Here is a 25510-nt window from a genome sequence, read left to right on the forward strand (position 1 = left end):
GATTACAAGCATGAGCCACCGCGCCTGGCCATACACCTCATTTAAATGGTGTAGCCACTAGTCAGCAACAGATTGTTGCCATCTGAGCATTTGGACCCAAGTCTTTGCTAGAGTTTGTTTTTGTTTTTTTTTTCAACAAAATCCAGAAATCCAGAGTTTTCTAAGAAAATGTTCTCTCTTTTTTTGACATTCTGGGAGCCAAACAAAACACACCTGTAGACTAGAACTAAGTCATAGACCACCAGTTGGCTACTTCTGCTATACTTTTTCTCCCCTGCTATATTGCTGTGCTTTACTGGGCACTCTCTATTTGATCTGTTACACCCTGCTCAGCTGTTCAGCTCTTTGAGTTGAAGACGTTTCAGTCACTTTTCCTGATTAACATCCAACTCAGATTTCTTCCTTTCTTTGAGTTGACAGTACTATATTGGTACAGGACAGAATGTAGCTCCACAGCCCAAAGGATCACTTCCTACAAACACTATATGATTCCCTATCAGATAAGGTTCCTCGAAATACCAGTCCATATGTCCCTGCTTGCCCAGGGCACTTTAATATTTGTCCTAAACAAAAACATCCCATTTTGGGTATAAATTGTCTGGTCACTCTATACAATATCTACATTAAGTGTTCTATAATAAAGGTGGCCCCAATGCTCCAAGTCAATGTTCTCTTCCTCTAATGCCCTAGCAAAGCTGGAGCTGTCTGCTCTGCTGTCAACTTAGCAACTTGGTAAAAATAAATGTGTTTGGAACTGGAGTGAGTACAGGTGCTCCGCATCAGTTGGATGCTTGCGTTACTCAACTTTCCCGCACTTTTCTTTTTTTGTTCCTATTGCTTTTGTTTTGTCTTAGCACTGCATCAGTTTAGCTATCGGAAATAAGGAGGAGCATGCCATCCTTCTCTGTAATTTCTTTCTGTATTTTGGAAAGAAGGCACTGGTCCTCTTGGGAACGTCAGTGTTAGAAGTAAGTGCTGGAGTTCATATTGAAATAATGTAAGCAAAAGGAAATCAGATTTCAGCTGCAAGTTTAGAAGACTTCAAACCCAGGTTTCCATCTCTTCACAAACTAATTTGGAATTTCATGGGCAAGCAATGATTAGTTAAGAGGATAATGTTGGTTCATCAAAATTTTTACAATGTAAAGACTGATTTCCTTTTGCTTTTCTCCCCTGTAAAAGAGTACTAAAAATAGTGCTACATCATAGGGTTACTGGGAATATTAAATTACTTAGTACATATTAAGTGACTGAGAGCAGCACCTGGACTCAATAAAGGTGGTGGTGATGGTGGTGGTAATGTAGTAATAGTTATAGTGTAGTTGTGGCAGCTGTTATCCATCGTTACCACCATGATCATCATATGGTTTTTGTTTTTATTTTTGTTTTTTGAGATGGAGTTTCGCTCTTGCTGCCCAGGCTGGAGGGCAATAGCGTGATCTCGCCTCACTACAACCTCTGCCTCCCGCGTTCTAGTGATTTTTCTGCCTCAACCTCCCGAGTAGCTGGGATTACAGGCACCCACCACGCCCGGCTAATTTTTTGTATTTTTAGTAGAGATGGGGTTTCATCATGTTGGCCAGGCTGGTCTTGACTCCTGACCTCAGGTGATCCACCCGCCTTGGTCTCCCAAAGTGCTGGGATTACAGGCATGAGCCACTGTGCCCAGCCCATCATATGTTTCTAATAAGTGTATTTTAAGATCTGTAAAAAAAACACTTCTCCTCATGCTCCATTGCTGAGGTTTTAATCTTATAAGAAGTGAGCCAGGAATTAATGTTTCCCTATCTGAAATGTTTACAGCTTAATTTATATGCTTCTTCTACATTTGTACCACCAGAAAGCTATCATTTCTGAACTGTTTCTAGCCCTACCATGAGTATCTTGCTAAGTGTCAGTATTTACAGTCTTGCCTTATGGTTTTTGTCATGATGATTTATTTCCCTGTATCCTCTCGGCATTGTTTATTATTTCATTGCCAAGCTTGTTAACTATTAATAGAAGTTCATTCCCTCTATATGATCTCCTGCCGTAGTTGTAAGTGCCACTAGATGGCAGTAAACAGTCAACAATATTTTGGCAACTATTAGCGTTAGTACCTGTGGACCAACACTGCAGGAGGTAGCCCTGCACAGTTTCACCTCAGCCATGGGGTTAAGGTAAAGCCTCCTCTTTACTATAAAGATGATGAGCACAGTGACCAAGAGCAAGGGCTGTGAAGTCGAGGAGAGCAGGCTGCACAGCGTAGTTTTAATAATATGGGTTTGGGGGACAGTCAGACACAGGTTTAAAATGCAGCAATTGCTGAGCATGGTGGCTCATGCCTATGATCCCAGCACTTTGGGAGGCTGAGGAGGGAGGATTGCTTGAGCTCAGGAGTTCAAGATCAGCCTGGATAACACAGGGAGACCCCACCTCTATAAATAAATAAATAAATAAATAAATAAGCCAGGCATACTGACACATACCTGTGGTCCCACATACTTAGACTGAGGAGGGAAGATCGCTTGAGCCTGGGAGGTCGAGGCTGCAGTGAGCTATAATGGCACCACTGCACTCCAACCTGGGCAACAGAGCAAGACCCTGTCACACACACAGACAAAAAACCCAGCAATGCCACTAACTGTATGATCTCAGCCTTGTTTACTTCTCTGAGCCTCAGTTACCTCCTCATGAGACAGGAGTAATGCCACTCACAGGCTCTTTTGACAAGGCTCTTAACCTCTGATTCTTTATATGAAAGATGGGCATAATAACCCTTCCTCCCAGAATTTGGAGTGAATGAAAGTGACAAAGTTAGTGTTAATTCTTAGCATAATATCTGATGCACATAAATACTCAATAAATTAAATAGTCTCATTATTATTATTACCTAAAAATTTTTATTCTTTGGTAGGATAGGCTTACACTACAAAAAGTCTTATCTTTCAGAGCAAAATAATAACAACATAATAACTACTTTTTATTCCTCAGACTGGTTTCCTGCATACTTCCCTTTAGCTTCTAATTGCAAATCTTGTTCCCAAATTTAATTTAATGGCTTTTTAACTTTACTTGGTTTTGTCAGAGCCTTAAGCCAGTTTCCATTTCCTATCTCTGCCTGGTGTTCACCCTCAGTCTCCAAATATATTCTAACCAAAGCAGGGATAGTCCATATAGCATCTTGTATGAATTAGACAAAAGTGCCCTACCTCAAAACACTGCAGTACTATCTGTTGGGAAACCCTTGTAATGCACTGATTTGTTAAAACAGCAGCTGTGTTGCCATCGGGGCACACTCTGCAGGACCATACATGACAGCACTGGCTCACAAGTTGTTTCATCTGAATCCTCATGCTAACCTGGGGCTGAGGATTTCTGGAGCTTTGGTTTGTTTTTTCTTTTTCTTTCTTTTTTTTTTTTTTATTTCAAAGAAAATGTAAAAGCCCTCAAAAAGGCTTTTATTTATTTTTGTTGTTTGTTTGTTATTGAGACAGGATCTCACTCTGTCACCCAAGCTATAGGGCAGTGGCATTATCACAGCTTATTGCAGTCTCAACTCCTCAGGCTCAAGCGATCCTCCCACCTTAGCCTCCCAAGTAGCTGGGACTACAGGTGTGTGTGCCGCTGTGCCCAGCAAATTAAAAAAAAAATTTTTTGTGATAGATACAGGGTTTCCTTATGTTGCCCAGGCTGGTCTCAAACTCCTGGGCTCAAGTGATCCTCCCACCTCAGCCTCCCAAAGAGCCGGGATTACAGGTATAAGCCACCACACTCCACTAAAAAAGGCTTTAAAAATTAGAATCATCACAGTATAATTTCCATATATAGAAATTATTTAAATCCACCAAAAATTACTTTCTTTTTTCTCATACAGGGGCATGTGGCTTATGTAGTAACTCAAGAAACTAATGAATATTTGCTTTGGAATCCATCAACTGGCCAATGTTATAAGCAGTTTGACCCGTTTTGTCCCTTAAAAAGTGTAGATTGTTTGTTTGATGATAGAAATGTAAGTATATGGGGAAAAAAAATCTTGAGTTATCTCCTCTAGAGTCACCCTGGCTACACACTAGAATCACCTGGGGAACTTTAAATATAGATAGTCTATCAGATTCCCTAGGGCATGGGGCCGGGGCAATCTTTTATCACTAAAGCTCCTCCAGGTGATTGTGTAGTGCCTTCAAGGATGAGAACCGTTGAGGTAGTCTAATGATCATGAAACCCTAGAATCTCTTTATCTCCTGCCTCAGAACCCCGCTGGGATTCTGCCACTTCATTGAGTAGTAAGACTGTAAAATTTTGCTCCTTCCTTACCAACAATGGGCCTTGTGTTCCTATGGACCTACACTAATGTTATATTAATGTTTTCATAGGTCTGGTTTAATATTCAACAAAATAATACACCAATGGCTGTATTTTTTGACTATTCAAAGGAAAGTTTCTGGAAGCAGTTGCTTCCAAAAAACGTTCAAGGAACAAAAATACAAAGCATACAGGTAAATCATATTTTCCCAGGGGTGTCTGTATGAGAGTTACCATTGCTTCTAATCTTTACTAATTGTGACAGCTCTTATTATGTTTTATAGTTGGTTGGTTACTGAAATATTTGGCAATATTAATTTAAAAACTAGTTTTCTCTGCCATCCAGCTCACAGGCTCTTTCCCCTACTTGCAGAAAAAATAAATTGAGAAGAAAGTGACATCTTAAATGCAAATTTAGATGCTAAAATAGAATTTAAAATTTTTTCACCATAAAACATAACATATAATGTTCAAGATGTGTAGTAAGTTCTAACTCTGACCTAGCCCTCCTGCGCCATATCTATGGTAAGGATCAAGTAGAAAAATTGACAAAAAGCTTTCTGGACTCCCAACCATGATAGTTGTCTCACGGAATAGAAACAGGACAGAAACACTAGCAGTGAGTAGGCTGGAGCAGGGATGGCAGCAAGATCTGAAAATGCTTCATGAAAGCCAGAGAACCAGAGCAAGCATCACTTTTTAAAGACAGGGACTGTGGTGGGGCTACTTTACTTCCCTGTTTTTGAAAGGAGATGGGAAGGAAAGCTATAGACTCACTGTCTGGGGCTCAGGGTACAGGAGACCAAGAAGTAACTCAATCACTACATGGGTTGGCTAATGGATCTGTGATGTACTCAGTATTACTTTGGGAAGGCACTAGAAATACCATGTCAACAGCTGTTTCTGGATTGAGGGCCAAGCTGTGCAGGGTGTCAGCAATTGCACAGTCCACAAATGAGGAGACAGGAGCCCAGAGGGAGGGAGGGAGAGAGAGAGAAAGGATAAGAGAGAGCAAAAGAACAATAGAAAAATTAGGCAAAAGACAATTCATAGAAGCAGTAACTTACATGCTAAACCTCACTCATAATCAAGTAAATACAATTTAAAACAATAAAACAATTGCTGGACATGGTGGCTTATGCCTGTAATCCCAACACTTGGGGCGGTCAAGCCATGAGGATCACTTGAGGCCAGGAGTTCGAGACCAGCCTGGGCAGCAGAGCAAGACCCTGTCTCTAAAAATAAAAACAAAAGAACTACCCGGGCATGGTGATGATGCGCAAGTGTAGTCCCAGCTACTCAGGACGCTTAGGTGAGAGGACTGTTTGAGCCCAGGAGGTTGAGGTTACAGTGAGCTATGATCGCACCACTGCACTCCAGCCTAGGAGCCTACTGCAAGACCTTTTCTCTAAGATAAATAAACAACTAAAACAATAAAATTATTTCACATGCATAAAATTGGCAAAAAAAAATGTGTGATCATACTGAGTGTTGTCAAAGAGGCAGAGAAGTGGTGGAAGCACACATTTCTGTAAATGCTTTGGAAAACAATATGTTGATAATACCTGGTAAAGGTGAAGATGCTCAACCTTTGATGTGCCAATTCAAACTTCTCAGTATATACCCCAGAGGAACATTCACGGGGAGACAAGTACAACAACATTCATTAGAGAATTGCTTGAAATAACAAAAATTTGAAACAGTTCATCAACTAGAAATCAGTACATGAGTTGTGAAGTACTTATACAATGAAATCTTCTGTACAGCAGTAAAAGATGAATGAACTGAGCCAATTTACAGTTGTTCCCAATTTGACTGTCAGTGCATTACATCACAATCTCTGAGGGTGGAACCCACATGCCAGGAGCTTTGAAGGTTCCCCAGTTGATGCCAATGTGCAGCCGAGGTTGAGAATCACTGGCCAAGAGTCATGCATATCTACATGAAAGAATATAAAAAATGTAATGCTGAGCAAAATAAAAAGACATGAAATGACACATACAGTACAAAACCATTTATGTGGAGTTTGAAAGCTGTATATGGTTTATGTATACATAGATATGTGGTGATGTAGAAAAGCATTCATGGGAATGATAAATACCAAATTCAGATTAGAGGTTACTTTTGGGGAGAGAAAAAAAAGGAATGAGATCAAGGAGCAGTATACAGAGTACTTCAAGTCTGTCTGTAGTATCTTACTTATTTTTTAAAAGTCTAAAACAAATATGGAAGAATGCAAAGATCAGATGTAGCTAGGTGGTAGGTATGCTAGGTGGATGTTCATTACATTATTCTCTATGTTTGCCTGTATAGATTCAAGGCAATTCACACTATCAAAAAGAATGCATGGTGGCTGTGGGGGAAGAAATCAAAGAGGGCCCAAGTGTATAAAGTGATGGATTTCTGGCTGGGTGCGGTGGCTCACGCCTGTAATCCCAGCACTTTGGGAGGCTGAGGCAGGTGGATCACTTGAGGTCTGGAGTTTGAGACCAGCCTGGCCAACATGATGAAATCCCGTCTCTACTGAAAATACAAAAAAATTTAGCTGAATGTGGTGGTGCACACCTGTAATCCCAGTTACTCAGGAGGCTGAGGCAGGAGAATCACTTGAGCCCAGAGTGGCAGAGGTTGCAGTGAGCTGAAATTGCACCACTGCACTCCAGTCTGGGCAACAGAATGAGACTCTGTCAAAGAAAAAAAAAAGTGATGGGTTTCTTTCTTATTCAACATCTCTTTCCCGCTCTCAAAGAAGTCACTGTCAGTAGTTTCTTGTGCATCCTTCTAACATTCTCCATGCAGATGCAAGCATAGATAGGTATTTTTATATTTCCTACTTGAAAAGTCATTTTAAAGAAAGGGAAAAGTGCTTCTCTCTCTTGAGCAAGCCACATTTAAAGCCTCTAGAGTCCATACCTTGCTTTGCCCATCCCAAAGCTGTGACCAAAGCATTGATGCCTCCTAGGGGGAGAATAATCTATTTCAAGATGAGGCTCTTGTTTGTTTAATGTATAATCATTCTCTTGTTCATTCAGGTGATATTTATTGATTTCCCACTATGAGCCAGTGTTACGTTAGATGTAGATACTACAAGAAAAAAGACATATCTCAGTGTTCTTGGAACTTGGATTCTAGAGGAAGAAACAGAAGGGAACAAGCAAGTGCAGTACAGAGCAATGAATGCTGTTACAGAAGATATTATGGTGCTTTGGGGAGTGCACAGCAGGAGGCCCTGAGGGAGGGGAGTTGTAGGGGCTTCCTGGGAAAGAGTGATGAGAAACATGAGTGAGGAAGGGTGAGCAGGAGCTGGCCTAGATAAAAGTCAGGAATGAGAATGGTCCCGACAGATAGCAGGAACAGCGAATGGGAAGACCTTTAGTGACAAGGAGATATCTGTCCAGGAGCTGAAAGGCCAGGCTGGCCAATGCTGGGGTGGACAGTCCTGGTGAGAGTTTGGGCCTTTGTCCTCAGGGCAGACAGAAGCCAGCATCTCTAAGGCAAGGGCTGCTGTGATCAAAATTGTATTTGTAAAAGCTACTCTGACTTAGGGCTGAAACTAAAGCCTTCTGCCAAGTTGAATCTATAAATGTAAAACTCATAGTTGTGTTTAGCTTGTATCTCTACTTCTTTCCTGTGGGCTCATGGCCCTCCATCTTCTGCCTTGCCACATACATCCCAGAATAAACCACTATCTAGAGTGAACACTATTACACACAATTGTGAACACAAATTTGAATGTGCATGAGGAGAATGTGGGTACTCAGAAGTGGTGTTAACAGGGAAATCCCCTTGAAGTTTTGAAGGACATGAGTGCCCAGAAAGAAAGAGGCCTTTGCCAGAAAAGGAAAGGATAAACACACCATAAACTTCTCAAGTCAGCATAAACCAGGCCTCTTTTTCAGGCCTGAAGTGGCCTAACTAATCCACAGGAGTTGCCCAGTGAGGAGTAGACAGCCGTTGGTGACAGTAATCAGGGAATTCCGTCCACCTATCCTGTGTGAGATAGCTGCCAGCTCCTGCAAGATGACACAAAGTCATCCTTCCCTTCCTCAGTATCTTCCATCTCCTACCATGCTGTACTGTGGGGCTCCTCCCTGTGCCTGGGACCATCTCTAATCCAGTGCTCCTCCACCATGGCAGGCATCAGAGCCAGCGGAAGGGGAGCTTGTTGAAACACAGGTTGCTGGGCCTCACCCCCAGAGTTCCTGATTCAGTAGTTCTCAGGTGAGGGCCAAGAATTTGTGTTTCGAACAAGTTCCCGGATGTGAGGTTGCCAGTCTGGAGGCCACACTTAGGAACCTAGAGGCCTATCAAATGTTGCCTCCTTTTTACACAACCCTCATTCCACTCACGAAGGGGGAACATCTGTTCCTGTCCCTACAGCTGCCTCTTCCTCAGCTCAGGAATACCCAAAGTAAAAACTGTCTAAACCCAGCCCCTCACTCTTGTCCATGTGAGACCTGCAAGGAGTTGAGGGTTGGGTTGGCAAGGAACTTGAGAAGTCCTCTCCTCCCAGAAAATCCTGCCCAGGAAGGGAACTGGAAGAAACGTGGAATAGCACTGTTCCAGGCAAAGGCTTGGAGACAGGGGAGGTTGAAATGGATTCTGTGTATGTGCATGTGTGTGTGTGTGTGTGTGTGTGTATGCATGCACATGTGTGCATACATACACAAAGAACTGGCTTCTTCCAGCTGAAAGAAACAAATAATCAAAGAAGGAAGATGATCAACCATGTTAGAATAATAATATCTGATGTTTGTTGAGCATTCCATATGTGCCAGGCTTTACATGTATTACTTTATTTTAAAATCTTTACAAAACCCTAGAGCAGTAGGCACTATTATTATCCCTATGTTAAAAACTCAGAACAGAGAGGTGAAGACTTCACCAAGGTCACAGTGGAAGACACCAGTGCAGCTGCCAAAGATTATTTGGTAGTAGCATCCATAGTGTGTCAAATGCCTGTTTGAAAAATGAATTGGGGCGCCAGGTCTGTTTTACCCATGAAAATATATCTTTTGTAAACCCATCCCCCATCCCCTATTCTCGTGAAGCAGTGTGAAAATAAAAGAAAATGCTGTGGTCTGCATGTTACCTATGGAATTGAGTGTTTTTGCCACAGAAGCCTGGTTTGTCTTCCTCCTTATTATAGCTGGCATTCCAGGAGTGACTGTGATGTAAACATGGTCTCTAGAATCTATTCTAACTTTGGTTGTCTATTTCAGCCTGAAGAAATAATTTATTTTGAAACTGATAAAAGCATGGTAGAAGATCTAAGGAATAGGTACTGTGTTTTCCCCTAATCTCTTGTTGGGTTACCTTTCAGTCTTCTGACCCATCCATTCAAAATACCTGCTAGATCAGCAACAGAAACATGAAAAAGGAGTTTATAATATTTCCAGCTGGCCCAGTGGCTCACACCTATAATCGCAGTTCTCTGGGAAGCCAAGGTGGGAGGATCACTTGAGCCCAGGAGTTTGAGACCAGCCTGGGCAACATAGGGAGACGTCATCTCTACTAAAAAAAAATATATATATATATATATATATATATATATAAAAAAAAATATATATATATATATATATATATATATAGCTGGGCATGATGGCATATACCTGTAATCTCAGTGACTAAGAGGGGGAGGATCGCTTGAGCCCAGGATTTTGAGGCTGTAATGAGATATGATCACACAACACACCACTGTGTTTCAGCCTGGGCAACAGAGTGAGGCCTTGCAAAAAAAAAAAAAAAAAAAAAAGTTCCATTGAACCACCTGGTTCTTGGTACATCCATGGAAAAGTGGCCCCTCTGCCATCCAGGGCATTCTTTGATAGGACAGACTAAGTTAACTCTGGAAACATTGTGGGCCACCACTGGAAAGTTCTCAACATAGATGCCTGTTGGAGCCTATAGTAATAATAATGCAGTAGCCAACACTTCTTGAAAGGACATGAAGGTAAATGACCCGTGACTTGACATCTGGTAAAAATGTCCCAGTTAGGCAGTAGAAACGGCAGTACTGCCACAGCTGGACACTCCCAGCCTCCCAAGCACCTACACGTAAGTGCCTGAGGAAGTCAGTCAGTCAAGCCCAAAGGGCCACAGGCTTTGCAGCAGGACTGGCTCTCAGGCCATGTGTGTCAGAGGCTTCTAGATCTGACTGCCTCCAGTGGCTCACACTCACATAGCAGGCTGTCATGGAAGCCACTACAAAGCAAGCAACACAGAGCATGACCAAAGCAATTTTACCACTCCCTTTCTCACTAGCACACATCTCCCCCCAGCCCCCCAGCTGTCATTCTTACTCCTCATTTCCCAGTTCTTAACAAAAAAGGAAGAAATGCAATAGGGAAATGGTTCCCAACTGATTTTCATTAGAATCGCTTATAGAACTATTTAAAAATACAGGTATGAGCATCCCTGGATCAATATCTGGAGGTGAAACATTTTGATAAGGCGCTACAGGTGATTCTGATGCATAGCCGCTATTGAGACCCTCTACAAACTCCAAACTACTTAGTTGCACTATAAACTCAGCTAAGAAGAGACCTCCAGCACCTTCCTCTATAACATACACTGCAGTTAGAGAATCAATGCCACACAATCATCCTGCACAGAGAGGCTTTTCAGGAGAGCCCCATCAACCAACCCACACTGTGTCCCCTCTCTCTCCTCCCTGGCATATTCATCCCCAGGCACTGTTCTAGGGGCTGGATATATATGGGTAACAATGCCTGCCCTTATGGAGCTTACATTCAAATAGGGGGAAGCTGATCACCAAACTTACCTGTTCAATGCCTTGTTTCCTCCCAACTCTGCTTGCTAAATTAACTCATGTAATAATCCCATCCCTGCTAACATCATCCCAGACCAGATGCGTGGATTTTCATAAGGGCAGTTTCTTGGAAACAAAATGTCCAAGTCAAGGGAGGGTCTTGAAGAGTAGGAATGTCAACCCAGTAATCGGATGGTAGGTGTTGTCAAATCACACCCAGTAGGCAGCTGCCTACATACGGGTAACTGGAAAAGAGATGTGCCTTGGAGAGTTAATTGCTGGCTATCCCCAAGAGGCTTCTTGTCTTCCCAAGCCAAGTAAGAGCCTGCCTCTCCCCAGCTTCATTAATGTGAATGGTGGCAGACACCTCTAGCTATAGAGCTCTGGTTTCCTCCTAAGTCCAAAAAGTATCATTCTCATACTTGAATAAAAATCACAGGCTGGGCACGGTGGCTTACACCTGTAATCCCAGCACTTTGGGAGACCGAGGAGGGCGGATCACCTGAGGTCAGGAGTTTGAGACCAGCCTGGTCAACATGGTGAAACCCCGTCTCTACTGAAAATACAAAAATTAGCCACGTGTGGTGGCAGGTGCCTGTAATCCCAGCTAATCGGGAGGCTGAGGCAGGAGAATCACTTGAACCCGGGAGGCAGAGGTTTCAGTGAGCCAAGATCTCACCATTGCACTCCAGCCTGGGGGACAAGAGCGAGACTTCGTCTCAAAAAAAAAAAAAAGTCACAAAACTCTTATTATATTTACCAAATGAGTTATAACTTGTCATAAAATTACCTTTGGATTCTTACCTTAGGATCGAAAGGACTCTGAAGAGTAAAGTGATGGAATGGCGACCTAAACACCCAACACATTGGAATCGACAGTGTACTTTTATTTTGCGACAAATCCTTCCTAAGCTGGAATTTGGCATAGGAAGCTTTGTTTCATCTGAAGGAGATAATGAATTTGAAAGAATACTACAATTTTATTGGGTTTGTATATGATTTAATGCATTAATGACATTTGTTTTATATATGTTGTTAATTGCTAAATAATAGCAGTCTTAAATATTTCTGAAAGGCCTTTTATCTTGATCCTTAAAGATAGATGCTATAGCATTAAAATACACTTACTGAAGAATCAATATTGTTAAAATGTCCATACTACCCAAAGCAATCTACAGATTCAATGCAATCCCTATTAAAATACTAATGACATTCTTCACAGAAATAGAAAAAACAATCCTAAAATTTATGTGGAACCACAAAAGACTCAGAATAGTCAAAGCTATCCTAAGCAAAAAAACCCACAAAACTGCATGAATCACATTACCTGACTTCAAATTATACTATAGAGCTTTAGTAACTAAAATAGTATGGTACTGGCATTAAAACATAGACCAATGGAACAGAATAGAGAACCCGGAAACAAATCCACACACCTAAGTGAACTCATTTTCAGCAAAGGCCCCAAGAACATACACTGGGGAAAATACAGTCTCTTCAATAAATGATGCTGGGAAAACTGGATATTCATATGCAGAAGAAGGAAACTAGGCCCCCATATGTCACTTTATGCAAAATCAAATCAAGCTGGACTAAAGAGTTAGTTTAAGGCCTCAAACTATGAAATTGCTACAAGAAAACATTGGGGAATGCCTCCAGGACATTGGTCTGAGCAAAAATTTCTTGAGTAATACCCCACAAGCACAGGCAACCAAAGAAAAAATGGACAAATGGGATCACATCAAGTTAAAAACCTTCGGCACAGCAAAGGAAGCAATCAACAAAGTGAAAAGACTGAGAGAAAATATTCGGAAACTACCAATCTGACAAGGGATTAATAACCAGAATATATAAGGGGCCCAAACAACTATAAGAAAAAAATACAATAATCTGATTTTTTAAATGGGCAAAAGACTTGAATAGACATTTTTCAAAAGAAGACATACAATTGACAAACAGGCATATGAAAAGGTGCTCAACATCATTGATCATCAGAGAAATGCAAATCAAAACTAAATAAGGTATCATCTCACCCCAATTAAAATGACTTTTATTCAAAAGACAGACAATAACAAATGCTGGAGAGGATGTGGAGAAAAGGAAACCTTTGTACACCGTTAGTGGGAATGTAAATTAGTACAACCACTATCGAGAATAGTTTAGAGGTTCCTCAAAAAACTAAAAATAGAGCTACCATAGGATCCAGCAATCCCACTGCTGGGTATATACCCAAAAGAAAGGACATCAGTATATTGAAGACATGCCTGCACTCCCATGTTTGTTGCAGCACTGTTCACAAGAGCCAAGATTTGCAAGCAACCTAAGTGTCCATCAATAGATGAACGGATAAGGAAAATGTGGTGGATATACACAATGTAGTACAGTTCAGCCATAGAAAGGATGAGATCCTGTCATTTGCATCAACATGGATGGAACTGGAGGTCATTATGTTAAGTGAAATTAGATAGGCACAGAAAGACAAACATCACATGTTCTCACTTATTTGTGGGATCTAAAAAGCAAAACAATCAAACTCATGGAGATAGAGAGTAGAAGCTTACCAGAGGCTGGGAAGGGGAGTGGGAGTTCAGAGGGAGGTGGGGAATGGGTAATGGATACAAAAAATAGAATGAATAAGACCTAGTATTTGATAGCACAACAGGGTAACTATAGTCAATCATAATTTAATTGTACATTTAAAAATAACTAAAAGTGTATAATTGAATTGTTTATAACACAAAGGATAAATGCTTGGGGGGATGAATAGCCCATTTTCCATTATGTGACTACTATGCATTGCATCATTGCATGCCCATATCAAAATATCTTTTCATGTACCATATATATATATATATATATATATATATATATATATATATATATGTATATATATATATATATATGTATATCTATATATGTACTATGTGCCCACAAAAATTAAAAATTTTTAAAAATGCATTTACTTATAAACCAAGAAACTTCAAATGTGTTGAAGAATTATTACTAGGACCATGTTGCATGGCATTAACTTGGAACCAGTTATATGTTTTATGATGTATAAATTACAGGTTTTGCAAAGAGATGTCCAAAAGGAAACCACTCTGCAACTAAAAAACTAAGAAAAACCTCTAGTAGTAGATCAATTCCCTGTTATTTGTTCTGGGCAAGAGGACTCCAGGCAAGCTTCAATATCTTCTACATGCAAATTACAGTGGTCCCTTGGTATCATTAGATTTATCTCAGGACCCCCACAAATACCACAGTCCAGAGATGCTCAAGTCCCTTATATAAAATACCATAGTCTTTGCATATAATCTATGTACAACCTCACACAATAGTTAGGTATTATAAGTAATAATTATAAATAGTTACATTATATTGTTTTCTATTTGTATTATTTTTTATTGTTGTTTTGTTTTTTTTTTTGCGACGAGGTCTCACTTTGTCACCCAGGCTGGAGTATAGTGGTGTGATCATAGTTCACTGTAGCCTCAAACTCCTGTGCTCAAGCAATCCTCCTGCTTCAGCCTTCTGAGTAGCTGGGGCTACAGGTACTTGCCACCATGCCTGGCTAATTTTTAAAATATTTTTGTAAAGATGGGGTTTCACTATATTGCCCAGACTGGTCTTGAACTGCTGGGCTCAAATGATCCTCCAGCCTTAGCCTCCCAAAGTGCTGGGATTACAGAATGAGCCACTGTGCCCAGCCTGCTATTTTTTATTTTTTTCTGGATATTTTCAATTTGTGGTTGGTTGAATCCTCAAATGCGAAACCCATGGATATGAAGGACCAACCGTACTTCCAAATTTATACATTCAGCCAGGCCACTGACATCTTTTTGGATGGTAAAAAGACATCTCAAACTCAGCAAGTCCATAAACAAACATGGTGGGCATCTAGTATATTGTTAGGGTGCTCCTTTCCTTCTCCTACTCTACCCCAAGCTCTGGGCATCCTTTCACCTCTTCTTCCCTATAAACTGGCCCAGTGGGTTTTTGAAAACCTCAGCCTCCCAAGAGTGAGACTCCTTCCCCTTACCATGCAATAGACTAGAGGGTGTCTGCTAGGGAACTCTCTGAGATGAAGTAAGGAATCTATTGGGAGTTGAGTACTTAGGTGGGGAGGGAGGGATCTACAGGCACTATTCACTCATGAATAGGGAGGAAGTTGTTTTTGCTTTGCTTTGCTTTATTTTAAAGCTTATAAACAATAGAAATTTATTTCTCATGGTTCTGGAAGCTGGGAATTCCAAGATCAAAGTGCTGGCAGAAAAGGGGTTCTTGTATATATAATACACCTTCTTGCTGTTTCCTCATATGGTAAAAGAAGTAAGGTAGGTTTTGCTTTGTTTTTAGTAGAATTAGGAGATAAACAGATAATAAAGCATAGTTAAATATAAGCCAAGGTTTAAAATGTGGAGTACCTATGTAAAATAATCAATTTAGTAATACATAGTCTACAATAAAACTGGACTAAACCCTGCAGCCCATGCTCAAATCCTAGTTTAACTACTCAGTAGCTTTGACCTAGGGCAAGTGACCGAATCTCTCTATACCCTCTACTCCATTAGAAAACAGGAATTTTTTTAAAAAAGTTATCATTTTATCATTGTCTTGAGGATTATGTGAGTTAATAATTACCATGGCACCCAACACCTAGTAAGTATTTAGTAAATGCTATCTATTTTTTTTCTTCTATGTGCCAGGCATTATGCTGGACACTGGAGTTATAGTAGTACACAGGACAGATACAGTCTTGTACATCTGCAGAGATTATGGGTTAGTTAGAGAGAGACCAGAAAACAGGTAATTGCAACATATTTTATTAAGTAAGCTCAAGGAAGGACAGTGTGCTACACAACTACATGGGAAGAGCGTGTGAACAGATTTAAGGATCAGGAAAATCCTCCTGAGCTAAGCAATTACAGTGTGAAAGAATGGTTGTCATCTATGTATTATTAAACAGGTAATTTTCCATGGGACCATGTTCCACAATCCTTTAATCCCATCACATAGTAGTCACTTAATAAACATAAACTGAATCGATGTTGAATAAATTGTTCTGAAATTCTCACTTAAATCCCCCATATGTAGAATCAAGTAATTTTCTCACCAGCAGTTTGCTCTCTAGAAAGTTTGTGGAATGTTACATGTGCAGGCTTTGGACTCAGACCTGGTTGTGCTCCTATCTGTAAAGTAAGGATTATAGTAATACCTACCTCATAGGGTTGTTTGAGGATTAAATATGTATGTGAAGCATTTAGCTGTACCTAGAACATAATTTGGCACCCACAGACAACTATTATAGTATTTTATGAGTACTATTTCTTTGAGGCTTTTGTGATCTTTTTGCATACAGTAATTCCAGATTACCCAGTTGTAATGTGGGTTTATGTGCTGTTCTGTCTTTGATCCAGGTCACGGGATTTCCCATCCAGATGCCATACATTGATGTACAGTCAATTATTGATGCTGTTTATCAAACTGGAATTCACTCTGCTGAATTTCCCCAGACAGAATTTGCTTTAGCTGTATACATTCACCCATACCCAAACAACATATTATCTGTGTGGGTCTATTTGGCTTCCTTAGTTCAACATCAATGAAAAGGAAGCAGAGCAAAGTAAAAGATTGTACTATAGTCCTCTAGTACCAACAAAAACTTTTCTGGTACCTTGAGATTTTGCTGTTTATTCTCAAGTCCAGCTAAGTGCTGGGCCCAATTTTTGATTCACTTACAGAGCTGGGCACTATGGAGACTCGCACCCCTGAGTGAGTCTTTGAGGAGGAGTCTAGATGAGCTTCTCACCAGAGACCTCTCCAGGAAGGACCTTTGGATAGTCTGGCTTTCTTGGGTCACTGTCTGCAGTAGGTCTTATTCTGGGAAAGAAGCAATTTTGGCCTCTTCTCCTAAGACCAATGTTTCTCAAATTGTAGAATTCACACCACCTCCATTTGAATCATCTGGAGAGCCTTGTTGAAAATGCAGATTACTAGATCCTCCTCAAGACCCACTGAATCAGCACCTCTGGGAGTGAAGCTACAGACTCTGCATTATTTTCAACAAGCTCCCCAGATAATTCTGATGCACTGTTATGAGGGAGAGCCCAGCCTTATAGAATGTTGTCACTACTAAACTAAGGCTGGTACGTTTGATGCTGGGTCTGATACAATTTCAGATGGAAGCTGCTCGAGTGGAAAACTAAGGTCATTGCCTCTCATGGATAAAATGTTATTTCACTGGTAAAGAAAAATAAAATAAAATCTACCATGTTGGGCTGATGTTGGCTTCTGGAAGCTTCTCAAAAGTTTGCACTTTGGATGCTACTGACATGAAATTCTTACAGCTCCATGTATTTGGAAGGAACTCCCAGGAAACTCTAATTTCTCCCAATTCTGTGAGGGAGGAAATGGTCTTGACAAATCTCAGGACTCTTTTTTTCCTTAGTGAGCAGCCCCCAACTCTGCCTCTGGCACTTTTTGCTGCTTTTCTTTCTTAGTAGTGGCTTATCTAGATCCTAAGAGCCCCTCAAGAAAGACTGGACAGGGGTCTAAGTAGGAAGCACTATACTTTCTTCTAGTTTATTGTTTTGTCCTTCATTAAAAGAAATGTGTTTATATAATTTACTTACATATGACAAAATAACTTATCAAAAAGAAATAATCAAGGAGTATGGATTTCCAAAGGTTGACCAGAGCAGTTTTGTATGAGGTAAAGATAAAAGAACATTCACCTCTCCCATTGAAGAACCACTGAGGTTTCTTGGTTCACTCCCACAAGCAGAGAGCAGAGACCCCAAATGTATCTGCAGGGAATACCCAATCTGTATCTGTTTCCTAAATGTGCATGGGCTGGTGCCAGAAAAGGCCTCACTTATTTGTGGTGATGTTAGTCTTGGACCAAGCTTGAGATTACTAGAAGAGGCAAAGTAGGGACATGGGTGAAGGAATGTTTTTTTCTCCCAGGTTAAAACCTAACTGTATGTGTCTTGTGGCATGCATAAGAAAACTGATCAGAATTTTTACTTTTATTTGAATGTTTTTGTTTAAATTTAATGTGAAGTTTTATTATTAAACAAGTCCCCCACTTTGATTGATTTAGCACAAAATGATGCTGATGGAAAGATGAGGATGCCAAAGACAGACTGAATTCATGCAACTCATTTCTGTACAGCTTTGAATATTTACATAGCTATTTTATTTGTTGTTCAGGGTTTTTAGAATTGATAGACTGCTTAAGAGTAGGGTAGCAAGTGTTCATAGGAAAGCATGGAGGACCTTTTTATATTGTATCCTTTTTACATGAGTGTTACTTTTTCAATTAAATTTTTTCCTGAAAATCATGAAATTATCTGTAATGAATCTTTTTTTCATGAAAACATTTGAAAAATACATGATTTTAAGTGGAATGTATAATTGCAAAGTTCTTTATATCATTCCATAAATAATTACAGGGCATCCATTACATGCCAGATACTGTGTATTATCTATTTAATAATGTGCTGGAGCACAGTGGTGAAAAGACAAAGACTCTACCAGTGTGAGTCTTACATTTTTAAAGGGGAAACAAACCACAGCAAGTAAGTGAGAAGATTTCAGGGTGTGATGAGTGCTCTAAAGGAAACAAATAGGATGGGATGATAGAGAAGGACTTTGGTGGGGATGAAGGGTATAAGCAGAGCAGTCAGGGAAGGCCTAAGGAGATAACATTTAAGCTGATATTTTAAAAATGATTTAACATTAGAATTGCATTCAGTTGCGTGTAACAGAAACCTAACCACAGTAGCTTAACCAAATAGGGATTATTTTTCACATGTCTCCAAGTCCAGAGGAGGCAGTCCAAGTTTGGTGCAAGAGGCCTACTAACTTCATCCAATTTCTTTGCGATCTCTAAAGAGACTTCTATTTTCTAGCCCAGTGGCTTTCAAATTTCAGCAGGTATAAAAATCACCTGAAGGGCTTGTTGAAACACAGATTGCTGGGCCCCACCCCCAGGGTTTCTGATTCAGAAATTATCAGGGTGATGCCTGATAATTTGCACATGTAAGTTCCCTGGTGATGCTGAGACGGCTGATCTGGGGACCACACTTTGAGAACCTCAGTTCTAGCTTCACAACCATTTTCATGGCTTAAAAATGTAGAAAAGGAAGGGGAAGACAGACGATGCCAACTGGTTCCATTCTTTTAAGAAAGCTTGCCAAGAAGCCATGCCAGTAACTTCTACTTATATCCCTTTGGCCAGAACTGTATCACTCCTAGCCATAAGGGAGCCTGGGAGATCAAGTATTTTAAATGGACATATTGCTCTCCCAACTAAAGTCAGTATCCTATTGGTAAGGAAGGAGGAGAGGGTGGCTGTTGGGTAGGCAAATCAGAGTCTGCCACAGATGAGAGGAAGCCAGTCATGCAAAGACCAGTGGCAAAAAGCATTTGAGGTAGAGGGAACTGCAACTGTGAAGTCCTTCTGTCCAAAAAGAGACTTGCCTGGGGAAGGGAGAGTAGTAGCACATAAGTCTGGAGAGGTAGATAGGACCAGATCACGTAGGTCTTGGTAAAGAGTTTGGATTTTATTTACAGTGCAACAGGAAATCATTGAAAAGTTTTAAGCAACTGAATAAAATAATATTTTTCTTTTTTATATTTGAAATTACTTTAAAAACTATTTTTTACAGATACTCATTATTTTATATAAGTGCATAAATGTCATCATGTTTTTTGAAATGCAGGTTTTTTCTTTTTTTCGCTTGAGTCTCTGTCCACTGCTCTCCTCTCCCCACCCACATTGTTCACTTCTTCTACCTTCTTACCAACCATGTTGCATGTATCCTTTCACTTCACCAACATTCTCAAATATTCATATGCCAACACACACACACATGCACATATATGCATCTGTTACTGTCTTAGAAAAATGAGATGACATATGTTTTTCTGCATATTGTTTTTTTCCTTCAAAAATAGTAAAACACCTCCAAGTGAACTATTCATGTTTCCTAAAGGATGCATAACATTCTACAGTGTGGGCAGGACCACTGCATACACTTAAGGAGGTTATGCACCACATGACTCGAAAGTTTATGTGCAAGGACCCCTAGAGTTGTGTAGTATGTAGAAACCTTGGTTGTAAATGTTATTTATTACAGCTTATTCAAACCATTCCCCTACTGATGGGAATTTCTTTTAGTCCATTTGGTTGACATGTTGTTTATTTTTCCTATATCCTTGCTACTTTTGTGTCTATGAGTTCTATTACTGAAAGAGGAGTGTTGAAGTTACCAACTGTAATTATAAGTTTCTCTATGTCTTTTTTTTTGAGAAGGAGTCTCATTCTGCCACTCAGGTTGGAGTTCAGTGGCACAATCTCAACTCACTGCAACCTCCACCTCCAAGGTTTAAGCGATTCTCCTGCCTCAGCCTCCTGAGTAGCTGGGATTACAGGCGCCTGCCACAATGCCTGGCTGATTTTTGTACTTTTAGTAGAGATGAGGTTTCACCATGTTGGCCAGGGAGTTTATTTCTTCTTTCAGTTTTGTTAGTTTTTGTTTAATGTATTTTAAGTTCTATTGTTAGATGGACACACATTTAGGATTTATGTCTCCTTAATGAATTAACTCTTTTATCATTATACAATGTCCCTCTTTAGTCTCAGTAATTTTCTTTGCTCTGAAGTCTGTTTTGTCTGATGTTAATGTAGCTACTCCAGCTTTCTTTTGATTAGGGTTTGTGTGGTATACATATTTTCATTTTTTTATTTTTAACATACCTATATAATTATAGTTGAAATGAGTTTCTTGTAGACAGCATATACCTGAGTTACGGTTTTTGTTTTGTTTTGAGATGAAGTCTCGCTCTGTCGCCAGGCTGGAGTGCAGTGGTGCAATTTCGGCTCACTGCAACCTCCGACTCCTGGGTTCAAGCAATTCTCCTGCCTCAGCCTCCCAAGTACCTGGGATTACAGGTGTGCACCACCATGCCCAGCTGATTTTTTGTATTTTTAGTAGAGCTGGGGTTTCACCATGTTGACCAGGATGGTCTTGATCTCCTGACCTCATGATCTGCCCACCTCAGGCTCCCAAAGTGCTGGGATTACAGGCGTGAGCCACCATGCCTGGCCTATGATATTTTTTATACCCTCTGATAATCTTTTTTAATTGGTGTGTTTAGACAATTTACACTTAATGTAATTGTTGGTATGTTTGGACTTAGGTCTATCATTTCATTATTTGCATTTCATTTGCTCTGTTTCAGTTCCACTGTTTCCTCTTTCCTGCTTTCTCAGGTTATTTGAACATTTCTTAGTATTTCATTTTAATGTATCTATTATATTTTTGACTATATGTTTTTGTATATATTTTTTAAGTTTTTCTAGGGATTATCCTAATACACATTTAACTTTTCACAGCCTACACAGAATCTACTTTTTACCACTTTTAAGTGGAATGTAGAAATCTTACCACATATTCTTTTGTACTTCTGCCTTTATGGTATAATTGTCTAATATATTGTATCTGTTGAAGTATATGCTGAAAACACTAGAAGACAATGTTCACATTTTTGCTTTTAACCATCAAATGTATTTTAAAGAACTCAAGTGGAAAAGAATGTTTACCCAAACATTTATCACTCTGTTGTTCTTCCTTCATTCCTGATGTGCTAAGTTTCCTTCTGGTATTATTTCCCTTCTGTTTAAAAAATGTCCTTTAGCAATTCTTTTAGAGCAGGTTTACTGACAACAAGTCTTTGTTTTCTTTCATCTTCAAATGTCTTTAATTTCATTTCTGAATGATATTTTTGCAGGATTAGAATTCTGGGCCTGACAGTTCTTTTCTCTCAGGACTTAAAAACAAATTTCAACCTTTATTTTAGATTAAGGGGGCATATGTGTAGGTTTGTTACATGGATATATTGAATGATGCTGAGGTTGCAGATATGAATGAGCCCATCACTCAGGTAGTGAGGATAGTAACCAACAGTTAGTTTTTCAGTCCTTCCCCCCTTCTCTCCCTCCCTGCTCTAGTAGTACCCAGTGTCTATTGTTGCCATCTTTATGTCCATGAGTACCCAATGTTTTGCTCCCACTTGTGAGAATGTGATATTTGATTTTCTGTTCCTGCATTAATTCACTTAGGATAATGGTCTCCAGCTACAACCATGTTGCTGCAGAGGACATGATTTCATTCTTTTCTGTGGCACCTCAGCATTTAAAAAATTTTGTTCTATTTCTCTCTGGTCTTCTTGGTTTCTGGTGAGAGACCCACCATACGTTGAATTTTTCATTCTTCCCCTATAAGTAATGTTTTGTTTCTCTCTGGTTGTTTTCAATTTTTTTCTCTAGTTTTTTAGAAGGGTTTTTTGTGTGTGTGTTTGTTTTTGAGACAGAGTCTTGCTCTGTCACCCAGGATGGAGTGCAATGGCTTAATCTTGGCTCACTGCAACCTCCACCTCCTACGTTCCAGCAGTTCTTCTGCCTCAGCCTCCCAAGTAGCTGGGATAACAGGTGCACCTCACCACGCCCAGCTAATTTTTGTATTTTTAGTAGAGATGGGGTTTCACCATGTTGTCCAGGCTGGTCTCAAACTCCTGGCCTCAAGTGATCCACTCACCTTGGTCTCCCAAAGTGCTGGTATTACAGGTTTGAGCGACTGTGCCCAGCCTAGTTTTTAGCAGTTTTATTATGTGTGTGGGTATAGATTTCTTTGGGTTTATCCTTGTTAGCATCACCTGAGTTTCTGAATCTGTTTTTGTCTTTTCTCAAATTAGAGGAATTTTCAGCCATTATTCTCCCAAATATTTCTGTACCATATTCTTTCTCCTTTCCTTCAGAGACTCCAATGACATAAGCATTAGACCACTGGGTATTATCCCACAGGTCTCCAAGTCTCTGTTCATTTGTTTCCAACTTTTTTTCAGGTTGTACTATTTCTATTGATCTACCTTGAAGTTCACTGACTACTCTGACATCTCCATTCTCCTAATGAGCCCATCCCATGAGTGTTTTTAAGTTTTGTTTTTTTCTATCTTTTTAGTTATAAATTTTCCATCTAATTTCTTCTTTATGTATTCTATTTATTTGCTGAAACTTCTTATCTTTCCATTCATTTCAAGAAAGTTTTCTCTTCTTGGAGCATTACTATAATAGCTATTTTAAAGTCTTGTCAAATAATTCTCTGTCATCTTAGTGTTAGTGTTTGTTGATTGTCTTTCCCATGAGAATTGAGATTTGTTTTTGTTCTTCATAGGCTGAGTAATTTGGGTTGTATCCAGGGCAATTTGAATATGCTGTATGTTAGGAGATCTACGTCTTACTTAAATCTTTTGGAGAATGTTGATGTTTTTTGTTGTAGCCGGGAACCAATCTGGTTGAGTTCAGGCTGCAAGTTCTGGCTAGCCTTTTGTGGGTTGTGGTTTCGATGTCAGGTCCATTTTCAAAGTCTTTCTGTGCTACTCAGATCTGTCACATATGTGTGCTGCTTAGTGGCCAGCCACTGCTCTGGGCAGTTCTGAGTTTTTAGTCTTTTCAGAGTGGATCTATGTATGCACAACTCAGAGGTAAGCCCAGTTGTTCATAAGCACTTTGTGGGATCATTTTCCAAAGCTGCTCCTCCCTCTCCACAGTCTCCCCAGTACTTTTCAGTTCCCTGGGCCTCCCTTTTTCAGTTCTCCAGCCATAAAGCTGTGGTTTTTAGTTACACCTCTTTGCCCACACTTCCCATTATTGTACCTCCATCCAGAGTAAGGCAGTGGGAAGACAAAGGAAAACAAACAACCACAGCTGTTCTGATCAGATAAGAGGCTTTCCTTTCCTAAGTTTTCGGCACCTGTTGGCCCCTATTACCACTGTTGTGGCTACCACCAATCTGCTGAAGAATGCCTGGGGGCTACAGCAGGAGAGAGAGAAAAGAAAGAAAAAATAAATAAATGGGAATTGCCTCACTCTGATCATTAGGAGACTCCTTTGCTGTTCCTTATAACAAAAGGGATTCTCCTAGGGCTCTCCCTTTCTGTGCCCTGGTGCCCATTTCTAGATTTCAGGCTTCCTGAATCCAAGCTGGGGAATCCTGGAGGAAGAAGGGGTAACTCACCACCAGTTTGGTGATATTTCAAATTAAGGTCTTCCTCCCCACTTGCCTGCTACTATTTACTTTACATTGTCTTCAAATAGCTGCTCATGCAGTCTGTCCAGATTTTATAGTTACATTCGGTGGGAGAGACAGGGTGAAGCTGGCTTAATCCATTGTGTTAGGGTTCTCCAGAGAAACAGAACCAACAGAATGTGCATGTGCATATGTGTGTATTTACCTATCTATCTGCATATATATGTGTGTATATGCATATACACAGAGATACAGATATATAAACTAAGGAATTATATCTATATCTATAGTTATATATCTATATCTTACATGATCATAAAGGCTGAGGAGTCCCAAGATCTGCTGTCAGGAGCTGGAGACCAGGAGAGTTGACAGGTAATTCCAGTCTGAAAACCGGCAGGCTCAAGATGCAAGAAGAGCTGATGTTTCAGTTTGAGTCTGAAGGCCAGGAAAGACCTATGTCCCAGCTCAAATAAGTTGGGCAGCAGGAATTCTCTCTTCCTCGACAAAGGGTCAATCTTTTTATTCTATTCAGGCCTTAAACTGATTGGATGAGGACCACTCACATTAGGGAGGGCAATCCACTTTACTTACTCCATGATTCAAATGTTTATCACATCCAAAAACACTCTCACAGACACACCCAGAATAATATTTGACCAAATATCTGGCACCCAATCTTGGCCCAGTCAAGTTGACACATAAAATTAACTGTCACATTCATCTTATCCAGAAATAGAATCTTATATAGCATTTTAAAATTTGGAATATTTTTCATAAATTACAGATTACAAATATCTGTGATTACAAATACCTGGAACTAATTTTTTATAAAGTAGACTTAAAAACTATCCTTAACATTGTTCAATATGCTAAAACAGTTTGGAAATGTGATCTAGGAACTCTTGACTATCAAGCTCAGATGTGATTTACCTTTTTATGACCACTCCAACTACTAGGTGATGAATATTTTCAAGAAGGACAGGAGCAGTTGCAATAAGACCAGTTAAGAGACTACTGTACAAGTGTAACTGAGAGATGGTGGATATGAATAGTAGTTGCAATGAGTTGAATACTACAAATAGCAACAAATCAAGAACAGAGAACCAGAGCCCAGGGCTGTTGGCTTCCAGGCCTTTGCATCCAGTAGAATATGCTGCTGCCATTAAAAGGAATCCTGGATGTCCTGTTATGGAATGTTCGCCGGAATATTCTGTATGACAAAATCTAGGTACACAACAGAGCATGTAACATACTACCATTTGTACATAAAATGAGGCAAGGGAGTTTCATATATATATATATATATATATATATATATATACATGGTTATAAATACCTGGATATCCCTGGAAGGCTA

General features: G+C 39.9%; 1 protein-coding gene and 1 long non-coding RNA gene across 21 annotated transcripts in view, besides 1 other annotated feature; one reads left to right on the forward strand and one right to left on the reverse strand.

Moving 5' to 3' along the window:
• CC2D2B (coiled-coil and C2 domain containing 2B) overlaps window positions 1-18399 on the forward strand; it is a 126075-nt gene extending 107676 nt beyond the window's left edge. For 11 of the 17 annotated variants that reach the window (XM_024447995.2, XM_024447996.2, NM_001349008.3 and 8 more), the window contains 6 exons: window positions 855-968; window positions 3857-3991; window positions 4356-4478; window positions 9507-9565; window positions 11866-12043; window positions 16474-18399. In XM_024447995.2, coding sequence (XP_024303763.1) covers window positions 855-968; window positions 3857-3991; window positions 4356-4478; window positions 9507-9565; window positions 11866-12043; window positions 16474-16662 — 798 coding nt within the window. In that variant the 3' untranslated portion in view covers window positions 16663-18399. Of the gene's footprint in view, window positions 1-854; window positions 969-3856; window positions 3992-4355; window positions 4479-6050; window positions 6760-9506; window positions 9566-11865; window positions 12044-16473 lie in introns of those variants that run through there. The other 6 variants (XM_024447998.2, XM_024448002.2, XM_024448003.2 and 3 more) reach the window with 6 other exon arrangements.
• The window catches only part of ENTPD1-AS1 (ENTPD1 antisense RNA 1), a 337030-nt gene that overhangs the window by 262141 nt on the left and 49379 nt on the right, over window positions 1-25510 (reverse strand). For 2 of the 4 annotated variants that reach the window (NR_134321.1, NR_134322.1), the window contains one exon: window positions 5854-6222. The exons of 1 other annotated variant lie outside the window; for it this stretch is intronic. This is a non-coding gene — a long non-coding RNA (ENTPD1 antisense RNA 1). Of the gene's footprint in view, window positions 1-5853; window positions 6223-11860; window positions 12000-25510 lie in introns of those variants that run through there. One more of the 4 variants, NR_134320.1, reaches the window with a different exon arrangement.
• Window positions 11094-12293: an enhancer, noted in NCBI's record as "CDK7 strongly-dependent group 2 enhancer chr10:97786197-97787396 (GRCh37/hg19 assembly coordinates)". NCBI's record gives its function as "activates an origin of replication core promoter dependent on BRD2, BRD4, P300/CBP, MED14 and CDK7 cofactors, with strong dependence on CDK7, by STARR-seq in HCT116 cells {active_cell/tissue: HCT116}" and the evidence as "EXISTENCE:reporter gene assay evidence [ECO:0000049][PMID:35650434]".

Source organism: Homo sapiens, chromosome 10 (genome assembly GCF_000001405.40).
Source record: "Homo sapiens chromosome 10, GRCh38.p14 Primary Assembly".
NCBI lineage: Eukaryota > Metazoa > Chordata > Mammalia > Primates > Hominidae > Homo > Homo sapiens.